Source organism: Homo sapiens, chromosome 6 (genome assembly GCF_000001405.40).
Source record: "Homo sapiens chromosome 6, GRCh38.p14 Primary Assembly".
Taxonomy (NCBI): Eukaryota; Metazoa; Chordata; class Mammalia; order Primates; family Hominidae; genus Homo; species Homo sapiens.
The window spans coordinates 28,994,632-29,012,009 of NC_000006.12; the positions used below are offsets into that span (position 1 = coordinate 28,994,632).

At 39.8% G+C, this 17,378-nt stretch overlaps 1 protein-coding gene across 28 annotated transcripts; it reads right to left on the reverse strand.

Moving 5' to 3' along the window:
* Nucleotides 1-156: 156 nt before the first annotated feature.
* ZNF311 (zinc finger protein 311) lies at nucleotides 157-10,981 on the reverse strand. 28 transcript variants are annotated; one of them, NM_001010877.5, is made up of 8 exons: nucleotides 10,937-10,981; nucleotides 10,377-10,627; nucleotides 9,315-9,434; nucleotides 8,882-8,963; nucleotides 5,325-5,416; nucleotides 4,856-4,982; nucleotides 4,103-4,207; nucleotides 157-1,955 (listed from the first exon to the last, which is right to left on the reverse strand). In NM_001010877.5, the coding sequence occupies exons 3-8, from the start codon at nucleotides 9,321-9,323 to the stop codon at nucleotides 370-372; spliced, it is 2,001 nt and encodes a 666-aa protein (NP_001010877.2). In that variant the 5' UTR covers nucleotides 9,324-9,434; nucleotides 10,377-10,627; nucleotides 10,937-10,981; the 3' UTR covers nucleotides 157-369. The 28 variants fall into 28 exon arrangements, with proteins under 28 accessions (NP_001010877.2, XP_047274625.1, XP_047274617.1 ...); XM_047418669.1 differs by having other exon boundaries at nucleotides 4,856-5,006; XM_047418661.1 differs by having other exon boundaries at nucleotides 9,240-9,434.
* Between the last annotated feature and the right edge of the window lie 6,397 nt (nucleotides 10,982-17,378).

Below are 17,378 nucleotides of genomic sequence, written 5' to 3' on the forward strand. Positions count from 1 at the left end.
TAGGAAAGCCTGAGCACAGAATTTACTAGTTACGTGATCCTGGGCAAGTTTGTTAATCTTTCTGTGCCTCAAATTCCTGATCTCATAGGGATGTTGTATGGATTTAAAAAGTTTAAATGTGTAAATCCCTTAGAACAGTGCCTAGAACACAGCAAGCACTAATAAGTGTTTATTAATATTAGGAAGTGATTGATAAACTCTTGGAAGTAAATGTGCTCACTGAAAAAATAGTGAATAAGAAGGTAAAGGACAATGTCTTTGGGGAATCTCACAATTAAGGGTCAGGAAATCAGGAATAACTAATATAAGAGACAGAAGGACCAGCCTAAGAGGTAGGAAAAACAGAAAGTAACACCAGAATCGTTATACTCAGGCACTGGTCAAAATACTGACTACTGAGGTCTGAGAAACAGTCACTGGAGAGAGGGATTTCCTACTCCCATCAAGTTCATGGGTACTCCATACTTGATGTTTTCTTTTCTTATGTCCAGTAAGATTTGAGCTCACTCTAAAAGCTTTTCCACATTCCTCACATTCATAAGGTTTCTCCCCAGTATGAACTCGCTTATGTCCAATCAGAGCTGAGCCCTGACGGAAGGACGTGCCACACTCACTGCAGGTGTATGGCTTCTCACCAGTGTGGATTCTTTTGTGCTGCCTCAGGACTGAACTATGATGGAAGGCCATTCCACATACCTCACATTTGTGAGGCTTCTCTCCAGTGTGAATTCTTCGATGATTGGTCAAGTTTGACTTCCCACTGAAAGCTTTCCCACACTCTAAACATTTGTAAGGTTTCTCTCCAGTGTGGATTCTCTGATGGATGGTAAGGCAGTGCTTATCTTGGAAGGTTTTCCCACAATCCCTGCATTGATAGGGCTTCTCCCCTGTATGCTCTCGTTCATGAGCCCTGCGCTTACAGTTATGACGAAAGGCTTTCCCACACTCCTCACACCTGTAACGTTTCTCTTCAGTGTGGATCCTTCTGTGTTTGGTGAGTTCTGCCTTGATGCTGAAGTCTTTTCCACACTGGGGACACCCATAGTGTTTCTCCCGAGTATGGATTCGTTTGTGTTTGCTTAGGTCTGAGCTCCGACTGAAGGCCCTTCCACACTTGCTGCACTCATAAGGTCGTTCCCCAGTGTGGATTCTTATGTGTTTGGTGAGGTCTGAACTCCCACTGAAGGCCTTCCCGCACTCCTCACATTCATATGGCTTCTCCCCAGTGTGGATTCTGCCATGGATGGTAAGGGAATGCTTAAACTGGAAGGCCTTCCCACAGCAGTTACATTTGTAAGGCTTCTCCCCGGTGTGGATAAGCTGATGCATACAGAGACGGTTCCTGGTCTTGAAGGCCTTCCCACAGTCCCTGCACTCGTGAGGCTTCTCCCCACTGTGGGTTTTTTTATGTCGGCAAAGAGCTGATCTACTGTTGAAAGCCTTCCCACACTGGGTGCAATTAAAAGGTTTCTCCCCTGTGTGGATTATCCGGTGCATAGAAAGCTGATTTCTGGTCTTGAATGCTTTCCCACACTCATTACACACATGGGGTTTCTCACCAGAATGAATTTGCTCATGGAGAATTAGATCTGAGTGCCAACTGAAGTTTTTGCCACACCTGGCACATTCATGGAGTTTCTGTGCTATAAGAACTTTATTACATTGACTATGTTTTGAGTTTGGATTCAAGTTTTTACTAAGCACTTTCTGGTTCTTTCCTTTTTTGCAGGTCACTTCCTCAGAGCCTTCTTTCTCTTCTCTCAGTTTCTCCCTTATAGATGTTTCCCATTGATTCTCTAATTTGACATCCTGAACACAAACTTCTCTAACCTTAGGATCCCGGGAATCAACTTTTAGGAGACTGTTAAATTTCATCCAGTAGGCTTCTCCATTTTCAAAAATCTCTTGTTGTGAACTTGCCTTTTCATTCTCAGGCCACATCTTGTCAGCTGACACTTAAACAAGAAAATACAAATGTCAGAGGGAAGGAAATAAGTGAGATGGGAGGCGTGAAGCAATGTTAAGCTGTTTGAAGAGTAAATAACTTTTCCATGCTGGAAAAATTACTAACGTTGTGGCCAAAAGTCAGAACAGGCTGAAATAATGAAAAGTATTGAGATATTTTACACTCAGCACACTTTATAAAAAATCCTTAAAAACCTATTCCTCCTCTATAGTCTCCTAGTTTAGTGAGTGTAAACTCTATACACCTAGTCATCTAAGCCACAAAACAAAATAATCTTCAACTCTGTCTCCCTTGTATTTACCCAGCTAACATTTTACAAATTCTACCTGTGAAGAGAGTTACAGAGGAGGTGCTGAAATGCTGATGCAGTCCCTTTTCAAGGAACTGTCTGCTTTGCTCCCAAGGGTGGGCCCTGGAGAGCCATATTTCTGTTATGTGACTCAGCCCATCTGGTTGGGGCAGATTAGATCTGTGCAATACCTGACCCAAACCAGGTCAGATTCTCTAATCCTGGACTTTAGAATTGTGATCTGACGGCAGGTAAGGCCAGCTCTAAGAGTAGCTCAGTCTTTAGCACTTAAATTTGAGAACTAGTGGTGGTGGGATGGTATTTGGTACAGAGGAGGGAATGTTCTGCCATCTGGTCCGAGAAGAAGAGAAGGTCAATTTGCCTAGAAAGAAGAATGAAGCTGACTCACAAAGAAGCAGGGAATACAGTTGGAAACCTGATGGTTTTGAGTCTCTTCTAGGGCCTGACACATAGCTGCCCTTAGGTCCCATGACACATCCTGAATAATAAATAAATTCATGTTTTTCTGCTTAAGCTAGCTTGGGTTAATTTCTATTGCTGTCAACCAAAGACTCCAAATACATCTTATTAATATTATCTCTGAACTCTATCTCTTCCTCTTTATTTCCACTGCCAGTGCATTCTCACTAATTGCTATATCCCTCAAACATCCTTTACCCTGAATCCCTTCTAATCCATCCTCTGCACTGCTTCCAGATTATTCTCTCTGAAAATCAAGTCTAATCATGTCACTTTTTAGCTTAAAATACTTCAATGGCACTCCATAGTTAACCAGACAGGAAGAAAGTAAAGCATACGGTCAAGAGTCCTGGCTCTAGAGTGAGACTGCCTGGGTTCAAATCCTAGTATGACAGTTAATAAATCTTAATACCTGTGTGAACTTGGGAGGATGACTTCACTTCTCCTTTGCCTCAGTTGCTTTATCTAAATGAGTTAATGTATGTAAAGCACATGCCACACTGAAGTACTTTAATCAATATTAGCTGTTATTGTAAGTTCAAGTTTTGTAGTTTAAATTCCTTAAGAAAACTCCCAAAAAACAGACGTCATATCATGATCTTGCCCCTTTCTACTACTTATGAACCTCCCCAAAGCTATTCTAAGTCCCCTGCTCTACTCACACTGAACAATTCATAGTTCATATTATTTTATTCCTCAATGCTTTCTCACATGTTATTCCTTCTGCCTAGAATGACTCTCACCTGTCTCAATTTATGAGCACTGCAGTAACTGACACACAGAAGGGTAATAAATATTCTGAGATTTTTTTTTTTTTTTTGAGGTGGAGTCTCACTGTGTCCCCCGGGTTGGAGTGCAGTGGTGTGATCTCAGCTCACTGCAACCTCTGTCTCCTGGGTTCAAATGATTCTCCGGCCTCAGACCTCCCAAGCAGCTGGGATTACACCCAGCATGCACCACCACACCCAGCATGCACCACCACACCCAGCTAATTTTTGTATTTTTAGTAGAGATGGGGTTTCACCATACTGGCCAGGCTGGTCTCAAACTCCCGACCTCAGGTGATCTGCCCATCTTGGCCTCCCAAATTGCTGGGATTACAGGCATGAGCTACTGTGCCCAGCCTCTGAGCCTTTTTTGAGGGCCAAATTGCAAAAATCTATTAGATAGGTTGCAAAGAACCAATTAGATAATAACAGAATAATTGCCCAAATAGTTTGTCACTGTTTCAATTTTCTTTTCCTTAAGTTTCCTAAATGGGTTTCCTTTCTGGGCCCTTCGACTGGATGATCCACCACTGAGAATGTTCCATAACCATTATGCCACATGGAAGATCAGAGGGAACTGAAAGTTTCTCTATTACTCACCTGGGTAGGAGCAGCTTAGGGACTCCCTGTCCTGTGGATCCTGCACACAGGGGTCTACTTCTCGCTCCAGATGAGAGATTAAAGGAGGTTTAGGAAATGGAAATCCTGGTTGCAGAGAAGAAATAAGTGTGTAGAGTAACTTATAACTTAATAACTTATAACTTAGCTAAGCAGCCCTGATCCTTCTGTTTGTATATGAAAACAGGAAAGAAATGTTAATTTAGATAGAGAAAAGGGTTTTTCAGGGGTCTAGTAACATGTAAAAGAACATGTTTGGGGACTTTCTCAGAAAAGTCACACTCAGAAGGAAAGAGAAGTTCTGGGAAACAGTCATTTGGGTGTGCTCTCCTGTTTTTTTTTTTTTTAATTTTATTTTGTTTTACTTTAGGAGAATGGGAGTCTGGTATAGGAAGACTATCAGTTTCAGGCACATAGAAGGCAGTTCTTGACTAGGAGCGGAATATAGAACACCCCATAAAAAAATGAGAGGCTTGAGGAAGCAAGAACCCAGGGAAAACAGAAGGTAAATGTCTCCTTTTAACTCATTCCAAATCAGAAAACAGCAACTAGGTTAGCCAAAAAATTATCTTGCTATGTAATAGAGGCAACTCAAAACTCTTAATTTTTGGGCAAGATCCTGATGATAAAGAATAAGGACTCTTTCAATATGAGACCTTATATACATCAATAAATAAATCAATTAAATAATAAAAAAAGAAGGTAGAAAGCATTAAGTGTAGGGAAGGTCCTTACCAAGTGATACCATGTTCCCATAATTTTCCAACATCACATCCTTATAGAGATGCCTTTGAGCGTAGGTCAGACACTGCCACTCCCTGTTAGTGAAGTTCACAGCTACATCCTCAAATGTCACTGACTCCTGAAATAATATGCTCCTGCTATCCTGGAGAAAACGCCATAGTTTCCTCAGGAAACAGAGGCAGAAGAAAGGAATTTGCAAGGAGGAGGTTTATAGAAGTGAAAGGCTCTTCCCTTTTGGTGGGTATGTACAAATGAGATGAAAGGGAGCATGGGGTTTTGATAGCAAAAAATAATGAAAGAGAAAACAACCCACAAGTGGTTTATCATGCAACAAAATGTTCCTTATGAGAGGGAGAACATTGATTTAGGAGTTGCACAGCCAGAGAACGCAGTGAAAACAAGGCCATATTTTGGAGGTAGTGATGTATTTTCAAGGAGGAGGAAAGGGGCCTCAGCTCACTTGGGCCTGGCTCATTAGTGTGATATCTGCTTGCGGCAGGTTTCCTTGGCTTCCATCTTTAGTGAAGGCAGGATATGGAGCAGGTAATAGAGCTGAGGGAAGATAAGTAAGCCAAGAGTCAATATAGCACAGTATTAATGAAATCTCCTGCATTCGTCTTCTCTTCCTCAAATGTAGAAGCTTCTGCAGCTCTAACCTAGGGCTTTAGGCTACTGCCTTACAGTATCCTTCCTCTTCATTATTTTTCTAGTCTCAACTTCCAGTGTTGGGCATCAGGCCCTGGCACAGCAGCCAAGGCAGCTCTTGGAAATGCACTCTTTTCCTGTCTCACCTACTGTTTTCCTGTGGTCTTTGTCCTGGAATAAACTTTCCCCCTCCCCAAACAGATCTGGTAAAAAGGCCCAAATCACTTATTCCCTGGTTTTGAATAGACCTTCTTCCTGTATTTGAATACTGAAGTCATTTCTTCCAAAATACTTGGGGTAGAAGGAGGGTGAAAAAGAGTGTGTGCATGCACGCGTATGTGTGTGTGTGCATATGTGTTGAACAGAAGCATCCAGGGATAGGACCAAAGCTTATTTTTTCAGGTAACTTAATGGCTGGTCTACCTCCAGTTAGTTACAAATTTTTTTCCTTATTCCTCTTAGAGAAGAATCATTCTTCCCGATTTTGCACATTTTTCCTACTAATTCCCTAGTACTGAGTTATCCTCCCTATGTCAATATAGTATAGCACACAGAGCATTTTAAAATGCAAAAGAAACTTTATAAAGAGTGTCCAAGTGTTCAGGTATAATCCATATGATTGGGTGAGAAGTAGTTTCTTTTTTTTTTTTTGAGACTTAAGAGTCTCGCTCTGTCTCCCAGGCTGGAGTGCAGTGGCGTGATCTTGCCTCACTGCAAGCTCTACCTCCTGGGTTCACACCATTCTCCTGCCTCAGCCTCCCAAGTAGCTGGGACTACAGGTGCCCACCACCATGCCTGGCTAATTTTTTGTATTTTTAGTAGAGATGGGGTTTCACCATGTTAGCCAGGATGGTCTCCATCTCCTGACATCATGATCCACCCGCCTCGGCCTCCCAAAGTGCTGGGATTACAGGCATGAGCCACCACGCCCAGCTGAGAAGTAGTTCATATTACTAATTAATAGGGCCTGACTTTATTCCTTGCAGGCCAGCTCAATCTTTCTGTAGCTTCAATGTTTAAGGTGCCTTATTTTTCTTGATAGTTTATCAACACATCGCCAAGTCCAAATCTGAATAATTGCTGTCTGCTTTTAAGACACCAGCAGGGTCAAAGTAATCTATTGGTAAGATTTTATAATCACCCTTTGGATTTAGACCTCCAAGACTATCATTCCATTTTTACGAAAAACCGATTTAGAACCAAGCTGATTTCTTTTCACTGAAATTGCCCAAGAAGACTCTTCTTTAGTTTCAGCTACTTATAGCTTTTGACCAAGACCAAGGCTGCATCTCAGTCATGGTGGTTCCATACAGTTTTTCCACTGTCTCACTCTAAAAGCTCCGAGCTCCTTTATAACTGTCTCAAAAAGTCTAAACTCATCTGGATGGCACACAACTCACAGCAGACACATGTTTGTGCCTTGTTAATGTTACATAACAGTTCTTTTCCTTATAACATTAACACACTTAAAGCTCTCAATTGGATGTTTTCAACCATTATTTTATTATGAATATTTTCAAGTATATAGAAAAGTTGAAAAAATTATATAGTAAATATCCATATACCAATCACTTACATTCCACAATTTACGTTCTGCAATATTTGCTTTATCACATACTTATCCATTTATCTATTCCTCTCTCTGTTCATTAATGTATTTTATTTTTTGAATCATTTCAAAGTAAGTTGAAAGCATCAGTACACCTCACCCCTAAACAGTTTAACATGTATATCATTAACTGGAAGTTCAACATTTGTTTACCTTCTTTTTCGAGGTAAAATTTACATATAATGAAATGCACATGTCTTAAATGTACCCTTAGAGAAACTTTGACAAAAGCATACCCCTATGTAACTCATTCCCTACTGGTTTTTACCATATCTTCTTCACAACTGGGAAAGTCTGTCACTCATAGTGATTCATAAGCTTTATTTTTTAGCTTTAGCTTTAGAAATTGAAAGGTTATTCCTCTTAAGTTAAAAATGAATTTAGGAAACAGGCTACATGAAAAAACAACATAAAACTTTTTGTTAAAGCAGTATACAGATATCTTGTGGGATAAGATTAATACATTTGTATTGTATTATATGATAGGTGGCTACAGAATTTCTGACCCTGAAAATCCACCACAGCAGATTTCACGACCATTTGAGAAAAAGAAGACTGGGAGACTCGTGCATCCGAGTTTAGCAATAGCTATTATTTTTTATTTCTAAATCTATAAAAAATTTATGTTCTATATTATTAATTCTCATTTGTGATCCCTTGTACAGCAGATATCTCAGGATTCCTCCTCTAGATGTTTCAACACTATATCTAGAAACACATTTTATTTTTATTTTTTGCAGGTAGCATATACTAAAAAGCTTACTTTTGAATGTGCCTACTCCTCTGTCCAAAAGTCTATGCCTTTCTGGGTTTGATTTTATGACTCCTGAATTGCTATATACTATCTCCTAGGTTGCACCTCCAACAGCAATTTTTTTTTTTTTTTTTTTAGACAGAGTCTCACTCTGTTGCCCAGGCTGGAGTGCAGTGGCATGATCTCAGCTCACTGCAACCTCCACCTCCTGGGTTCAAGCAATTCTTCTGCCTCAGCCTCCTGAGTAACTGGGGTTACAGGTGCATTACACCACACCTGGCTAATTTTTGTATTTTTAGTAGAGATGGGGTTTCACCATATTGGCCAGGCTGGTCATGAACTCCTGACCTCTAGTGATCCACCCACTTAGGCCTCCCAAAGTGCTAGGATTACAGGCATAAGTCACCGCACCCGGCCTACCATCAGCTTTTATACAAATCTTAACCACTTTTCCTCCTCACATACGCCACCAAAGAGCACAAGGCTTCAATGGGAAAACTTTTGCTTCTTCTTTTGTCACTGCTTTATTTTATATTTTGGAGATATCTATACATCATTTAAAAGTATCAGGGCTCCAGAAAGGTCTGCAGAAGTAAAATTGTATATATTCAAATTTTACATGTTGGCAAAATTATGTTTGGGTAGGAATTACTGAATTATACCACAAGTTTTATAAGTGTAAAATATGTGCAAATATGTACGCTATTTACCATATATCTCAGGTTATACAAACAGTAAATGCCTGACTGCATTGATTCTTTCTGATAAATTGCTTTGTAGAATCTTTTACACACTGATTTTTTTCAAAATTTAAGATACTGACAGAAACTGAATATTTAGTTCCTCTAGATATTGATCCAAGCCTCGTATAGAAACAAAATAAGACTTTCTATAAATGCTCATTAATGAACAGATTTTTGGGCCCCAGTGTGGCATTTTCCACCCACTCTGTGTCCTTACTACATTCTCAGCTGCCGTGACTCCTGCCACAATCTCCTGTGTATCTCACCGCTTTCCTGAGGGAGCTGGGTATCCTGGCGGGTCCAAAGCAGCTGGCTTGGTGGTCCTGAACTCTCATCCAACAGCACAACCTATTGCAAGACACAGAATGAATTCAGGAAAGTTATGAAGGTGAGAAAAATACATAGGAAGATGCAAGCAACCATACAGGTCTATCCACAGAAACTGTCTCCCAGAAATACCAAAAGAAGGGAGAAAATAATGGACTCAGTTCCTAATACCTTATGAAAACTAGAAATGGCATCTACAACTACAAAGCTTTAATGATCACCAGGTCAAGCAGCAAAAACAGTATCTAGGAGGAGACACCTCCAACAGTATCTAGAGTCAGACACACCTCCACTCACACTGCTTTCCTTCTTTCTTGGACTCACTTCTCCTTCTTCCTCCTTGTGATGTATCACAGACCCTCCTCTTCTTACCTCCTGCATCTTTTTACTCAGGTTTCTTTAACAGTCTTCCACTGCTGTCCTGGTTTCTTCCTACTGGTCAGATCCAGTTCTCAAACAAGCTGTGAAGTGGCTCCAGTTGATGCCAGCCTCCTTTGGAGAACACATGTTTTGGTGGTGCCAGCCAAAGGGCCCTTCTTGACCCACAGTGCCGCTACTGTTTGGCTTAATGTGTCAAACACTGCCCTGGATTTGGGGTTCATTAGCAACACTAAACCGCTGTGATCTCACATCTTGTTTCCCTGCATATTTGGTGAAGGGAAAAGAGGAATGTGACCACAGGAAAAAATAGGGAGTCACTGAGAACCTGAGGCACGAAGTCAAACTGAAAATGTGAACATATCCAGAATACAATCTCAACGGCTACCACCCTTGTCTGAGCCACCATCACCTGCTATCTCCCCTCCTTTCCATTACTGCGGTAGTCTTCTAACTGGTCTCCTTTCTTCAATCCTTGCCTTCCTCCTTTCTTTTTTTTTTTTTTTTTTTTTTTTTTTGAGACGGAGTCTCGCTCTGTGGCCCAGGCGGGAGTGCAGTGGCGCAATCTCGGCTCACTGCAAGCTCCACCTCCTTTCTTAATAGGGCAGTCTGAGTAGTCCGTTTACAACTTGAGTTGGATCATTTCATCGCTCTGCTGAAAACTCTCCAGTGGTTCATACTTAAAATAAAACCTGAAGTCCTTACCGAGGTATACAAGGCCCTACTGAATGTGCCCGTGACTTCTAACTTCCTCTCCTGCTCACCCAAAATAAGAGCTGAAGTCTTAAGAGTGGCATACAAGTCTACAGGATGTGTCATTCTCAACACCTTCTACTCTTCTCCCACTCCCTCAATCTTCAGCCATACCGACCTTCCTTCTCTTTCATCTTAGGGCCTTTCCATTGGCTGCTCCCTTCACCTTAAGCGATCTCCATGGCTAATAATCTTGCCTCCTTCAAGTGTTTTCTTATAGGTCATCTTCCCAAGGAGGTCTACTCTGAGTGCCTTATTTAAAATTGCAGCCTATCCCCTCCTTCCAATCCTGATGGGCCTTACCTTGCTTTACATGAATTCTTCTTTTCCTCTATAGCACTTTATAATTTTCCAGTATGGTGCATAAGTTACTTATTAATATATACATTGTTTACGGTGGTTCTACCTTCGCTAAAATCTAGGCTCTTAGGCTCCATGAGGGCAGGAATTTTTGTCGTCTTGTTCACAGTTGTATTCTCAACGCCTAAAACAGCGCTTGCAATAGTATGTGCTGGATTAAAAATTAGCTGACTGAATGAATATATGAATGGATGCTGTAGAGAAGAATAAAAAGAATGGGTCAGGAGGCGACAAGAGCAAGACTCCGGTCTCAAAAAAAAAAAAAAAAAATGGGTCACGAGCCCCTGGGAGGAGGTAGGGCAAATGGGCGGGAAATGCTCATTTTGGGGAATGGCTTCGAGGGAGGAAACCGCAGCCGACTCCCTCCTCAAATCTGGCCCCAAAGACCCGCCCCTGCCTGCAACCCCAGGGGCCCGGGTATTTAGGTGAGGGGGGCGACGGCGGCACCGGACTCCTCTCCTCTCAGCTGCAAATTCCGACCCACGACGGCCCAAGGCACAGACCTTCCCGCCGGTACTCTCCCCAAGAAATGAGAAACAGAAATATACAGAAGCTCCACTTCCTAGTCCGCCAATTATCATTTCCGGTGATTTTCTAGGAAAGGCGTCAACTCTCTGGTCTAGGCGTTCCCTTAAACTCTCCGCCCTCCTCCTCGCGGCTCAGCCTTCTAGGAGTTTGCGTGCGTTTATGGCCTGTGCAAAGGGGTTGCAGAAATATTACCCTTTTGCTCCTTTTTTCCCATGTAGAGGAACCTCTAGATAGGAATGGACAGAAGTTTTGTGACAAATATATGAAAAAGTTACTTTTAAATATTAACTAAGAACACAAATAATTGAATGTCTTTTTCAAAAGTAAAGACTATTTTAAGCCTATGCAGAAGTCGAAAGAAGAGTATAATTAACCCATATATACCCATCATTTACATTTAAAAATACATAAAATTCTGCCACACTTGTTTCATCCATCTCCATTTTTTCTTGCTGAAACGTTTTAAAGCAAACCCCAAATATCTTACTTTCAACTTCATTATGCATTTATTTTAAAAAGGATATTTTCCTACAGAATCACAATACCATTATCCCATTTAACAAAATAATTCCTGGTTATCATCTAATACCAAGTCCATATTATATTTCCCTAAATATATACATATGCTTCTTACATTTGTTTTCTATTTCATTCAAGATCTAAAGTTCCAGTATTTAATTTGGGCATGTGTCTTAATTCTTTTAAAATTCACATCTGAACTAGTTCCTCCTTCCATCCTCCTCTTCGTCTTCCCCTCATATAGTCAACTAATTGAACAAATTGGGACATTTGTCCTGAATGTTCTACATGCTGGCTTTGTCTATTTGTGTCCCCATTTTATTAGTTTCTCTAGCCTCATATTTCCTGTAAAACTTGATGTTACCTCTAAAGGTTTGATTAGAGTTAGGTTTAACTTTGTTAGTAAGAATCCTTAGGTGGTGCTATGTACTTTTTGCCACACATCAGGAAGCATATAATGTTTTTGATGCTAAGATTGACCAGTGGGTTTAATACTTGATAGCTGAATCCTTCCATGTAAACTTTCCCACTGGCTTTTAATCTGATAGATTCAGCCACCCCATTTCATTAGAGTTTGTAAAATTGTAATTTTTCTAATTCAATAATTTTTTCACATTTATTAGTTAGAACTCCTCTATAAAGAAAAACTTTCCTTCATCAATTTAGCAATTTAGGGCTATTTGGTTATCCTGAAATGTAGTTTGTACAGGAAAGAAAGACTGTTTAATTTTCAACATAATTGCCAATTTTCAGAAAAAGCAGTTGTGCCTTAGGTGCCATCAATGGTAACCACCTTACAAAATGTGATAGCCATCCTATAAAATGGCTAGCTGGGCCCTACTGTCCAGCATTCACATCCTTGTGTAGCCCCCTTCCACATTGTACCAGGGTTGGTTTGTGTGACTGAATGATCTGGTAAAAGTGATGCTATGTTTTGTTTGTTTGTTTGTTTGTTTGTTTTGTTTTTTGAGACAGAGTCTTGCTCTGTTGCCCAGGCTGGAGTGCAGTGGCGCGATCTTGGCTCACTGAAATCGCCACCTCCCGGGTTCAAGTGAGTCTCCTGCCTCGGTTTCCCAAGTAGCTGGGACTATAGGCATGCATCAGCATGCCCAGCTAATTTTTATATTTTAGTAGAGATAGAGTTTCGCCATGTTGGCTGACTGGTCTTAAACTCCTGGCCTCAAGTGATCTGCCCACCTTGGCCTCCCAAAGTGCTGGGATTACAGCCATGAGCCACCGCACCTGGCCGATGCTACATTATCTCTAATATTAGGTTATAAAATAATCTACGGCTTCTGTTTTGGTCTGTTTTTCTTTCGTAGATCACACACCCTTGGGAAAGCCAAATGCCATGTTGTAAGGAGAGGCCCAGGTGGTGAGGAACTGAAGCCTCCTGCCAGCAGACACATGAGTGAGTTTGGAAGTGGATCTTTCTACCTTAGTCAAGCTTTCAGATGACTGCAGCCCTGGTTGATGTCTTGGGTGCAACCTTATGACATACGCAGGACCACCAGCCAAGCTGCTCCCAGATTTCTGGTCTTCAGAAGCTGGGGAATGGCTTTGAGGGAGGAAACTGCAACAGATGTTTGGTTCTAAGTTTTATAACTAATGCAAAATTTTGTTTTCTCTTTTTGTGCATCTAATGTGCACTAATGTAAAATCTTTTTGTGCAACTAATGCAAAATTTTGTTTTCTCTTTTTGTGCACAACATCAAGTGTTCTGCATCAGTTGATAACTAATGCAAAATTTTGTTTTCTCTTTTTGCATATCAATATGAACACATGGATTTAAAAAAATACATTCAATGAGTCTCAATCAATTGCAGTAGTTATTCTTTTTAATGTTCAAATTATTTCATCTTTGGTCAGTGGGAGTCCCTTTATTTTATCTCCTGTGTCCTTTTCATCCAACTCTAAGCGTCTTTGCTTTTTTCCTTTATGGCAAGATAAATGTTTCAGACACATGTCATACATTTCCTGCCTCAGACCTGGAATCAGCCATTTTTCCAAGGTGTTCTGGTGCTTTCAGTGGGGGCAAGGATTGCATACCTTTGTGAATAGTCATGGTTAGCTGTTTTAAAAATGTATCAAAATGAAATAAAATTTGCTTAATTATGAGATTAAATCCTGGCTACCCCACTCACAATGTGTGTGTATCATACCTTAGACCCACCCTAGTTTGTCTATCTGCAAAATGGGTCCAGTGTAAATACCTAAATTTCAGAGCCGTTATAAGGATAAATTAGTTAATACGTGGAAATCACTTAACACATTGCCTGGCATCAAATTTCATGATGAGAATAACTGCAAACCTGGAAGATACTATAATGGTAATGAGGTATACTTTCTTCATTTTATACTTGAGAAAATTGAGGCCCAAGAGATTAAAAACTTGTTTGTACAAAAGAGGATAAAATTAGAAGAGAATCTAATGATTTCAGACTCTTGGATCTCATACCTAGACTACTTTGGATATAAATGCAGCCTTTCCAGCCCAGTCGGGTCTTCTATTTATTCAAAGACAAAGGAGGTAAGAAAATACTTGGCACAGTAGCAATAAAGTGGTATTATGGGAAGTGCAGAAACTTTATATTGAGAAGATCTTGTTCCTGATTCTGCAACTTGTTAGCTATGATACTGTGAGCAAGTTACTTAATTTCTCTGTGTCTTAATTGCTGCATCTGTAAAATAGTGAAAACAAATCCCTTATGCACAAATTCATTGTGAGAGGGTTAATATACATATATTGTATATGAAAATGCCTGGCCATATTGCTTGCTGAATAAAAATCATTATACAAAAATAATTTCTTCAATCCCCCAATTTTATAAAATTTTATTCTCATCTAATGGAAATTGGCATTTTAAGTAGAATGATCCCTAAGGATACTAAGTCTATAATTTTGTAAAGGACTTTAGTGAATACTGTGCAAAGGCACTGTGCAAGGAGCTACAGGAGAGATGCTATGCGTGGTCATCTACCTTCCAGGCTGACTGGGTACAGTCTTTCTTCCCAATATTAATCTACTTAATAGTAATAATGTCCAGTTCACATATTTTTGTGCAATACATTCATGAAAGACTGCTATACCCTTTGCTGTTATAAAGATACTTCCACAGTAGACTGTTAGCATATACTTTAATAATCTAGTTGGATTAAGAGACATTTATTTACATTATTTCCTCTAGGCTAACCACAATCGCTCATAAAACATCTCCTAAAATAATTAATACTGGAATTTTACCAGGGATCCATGTCAAATTTTTCACCCTGTTAATTCCACAGTTCACCTTCTTACTTTTTGAAAATTTGGATATTTGTCAGACTTGGGCATTTGTTGCACTACTCAAAAATGGGCTTCAGGGGTCCTGTGGCCAATCCTCCTGAACTTTAGTATGCTTTAAGCTGGGCATGAAAACTTGTAGTTACTGTTTAACTACCTTCCTTATGTAAATGTTTGTCCTATCATTCTCAACTTGAAGGTCACGACACTTGATGGAGATATGAAAGCCTGATAATGTTAAGTAATTTTATGGCCCTTCTGCCATCTGTCAAAATTACAAAATTCATTTCCTGGGGCTTTTGAAAAAAATAGCAAATATTTCAGGCATACTAAAGAGTAATATAAAGAACACTCAACATCTAGCTTAAGACATAAAAGATTATATACACAATTAAATCACCATGTCTACTCCTCACCAATTCCTTCCCCCTTCCTTCCCAGGTTAACTACTATCTTGATTTTGATGTTATTATTCCCATGCATGTTCACATATTTTTAGTACATACGTGGGTAGCCACAAATATTATATAGTATAATTTACATGTTTTACAAATTTTATACAAATAGTTTCAGTTTGTACATATCCTTTGAGCTCTAAATACTTGATTTCATTTTGGTTCAATATTTTTGGCAAGAATACATTATAGGGGTTACTATGTAATTTGTACTCAACTTTACATGTAGTTTTGAGATTTATCCTTCATGAAAAATGTGGCTCTAGCTCATCCATTTTAACTGCCATAGACAGGTCTTCCCATTTTCCTTCCAATAATCTTTTTAATTAACCTGATTGTTTTTCAGTTCAACTCAGAACTTGCTAGCAAGTATTTTTTTTGTCTTTGATATTTCATTTAAAAAATATTGGCAATCTTTTTGAAATAATTGTTTTCTTGGAATTTTCCCTTCTAAAAGGGTAATTTCCCATAATTTTTGGTAGAAAGTTTATATTCTAATATGGGAAAGAACAATCTAAAAAGTATTTACTATGGTACATAGAGGAAACTTAAATGCATATTATTAAGTGAAAGAAGCCAATTTGAAAAGGTTACATTCTGTATGATTTCAACTATATGACATTCTGGAAAAGGCAAAACTATGGAGACAGTAAAAAGATCATATATGTAGCATCTTAACCAAAGAAAAAAAAGTTCAGTGGTTGTCAGGGGTTGGAAGTGGAGAAGGATGACCAGGCCGAGCACAAAGGGTATTTTTAGGGCAGTGAAAATACTACGTATGATTATGTAATGGTGGATACATGCCACTATACATTTGTCCGGACTCCAGGTGATTGTCAATGTAGGTTCACCCCTCCGGTTGGGGATGCTGAGAGTGAGAGAGCTACACATGTGTGGAGCAAGGAGTATGGGACATCTCTGTACTTTCAGCTCAATTTTGCTGTGAACCTAAAACTGCTCTAAAAGATAAAATCTAGTAAAAAAAGTATTTATTACTTCCCCAAACTTTTAAATATATCTTTTGTGTTTAACCTTATTACTTACATAGATGGAACAATTTTCTGTTCAAGGTTCTGCTCATAATCATTATATTGAAACATAACATGATAAAAATATATTATAGAAAAATACCATATATTGGAAATATATTCTTGAAAATACAGAATACATTACTTATAACGTATGCTTGTTGGCCCTCATGATCCTAAAAGTTATAGCACATTTAAATGTATGTGACTTATGGTTCTTTTTAAAATAAAGCTACTGAGAACAGTCAAATGGTGATAGATCAGTCAAAGCTGCTTTGCGTCCATTTTGTTCAGACTCATTTCAATTCATTCTTCAACAAATATTTCTAAAAGCAACTGTACTAAGAGCTTGGAATAACATGAATGTACAAAACGGTTAAAGATCTCTGCCCCGTGGAGCTTATATTCAAGTAATTCTAATTGACTCGTGCTTTCATTTTCTTTGTTTTTCTCTTTGTATACTGAAGAGGATAAATTTCATATTCAAGCTAATCTGTTCCTCCCAAATGGTAACAGTGCAACACTGGCCAAGCTGATTCAGACAGCACAGCTTCCCGGTGTCTGCAGGGCTGGACCAAAGAGAAGAGTCTTCCGCGGGTGCTAGAAAAGCGAAGCACGCGTTACCATGGAGACTGCGGAATGGAAAAGCGTTCGGTTTCTTGTTTCCTAGCCGCGAATGGGGTCGTGGTTCCTTCGACCTCGCCTGGGGAGAAAGGGGACGGAGGGCTTCGGGCTATACTTGGGCCACACAGCCGGGAAGCTGAGGCCGCGGGGCAGGTCTGCGTGGCGGCGTCGAGTCCGAGCGGGGAAGCCCCTTTGCGGGAACTCTGGGGCGGGGCGGGGCGGGGAGGTGGGTAGGGAGGGTCCCGCCAGCAGAGGCATCTTATTTTTAACCTCTTCTCGGCTGTTTTTCTCTCGTCCATTTGCTCTCCTCCTTTAAGCCATCCTTTAATATTAAACATTAAAAAATATATTTGGCAAACATTTGAATAGAGCGCGCTTATTCTGGGTCAGGTGTCGTTTTAAATGCTTTATGTGTGCTAACTCATTTAATTCTCAAACAATCCAATGGGGTAAGTATTATCATTATCCCAATTTTTAGATAGGCCTGGAGAAGATAATAAACTTGCCA

What these genes read in the sequence shown, in the direction of transcription:
- ZNF311 (XM_017010757.2), bottom strand. Translation starts at nt 9,323, where the DNA reads ATGCAGGAGGTAAGAAGAGGAGGGTCTGTGATACATCACAAGGAGGAA. An exon ending in CACTAATGAGCCAGGCCCAA is followed by an intron (nt 5,007 to 5,324) that starts GTGAGCTGAGGC and finishes CGTTTTCTCCAG; the next exon opens with GATAGCAGGAGCATATTATT. An exon ending in CCTAAGCTGCTCCTACCCAG is followed by an intron (nt 1,956 to 4,102) that starts GTGAGTAATAGA and finishes TTCTTGTTTAAG; the next exon opens with TGTCAGCTGACAAGATGTGG.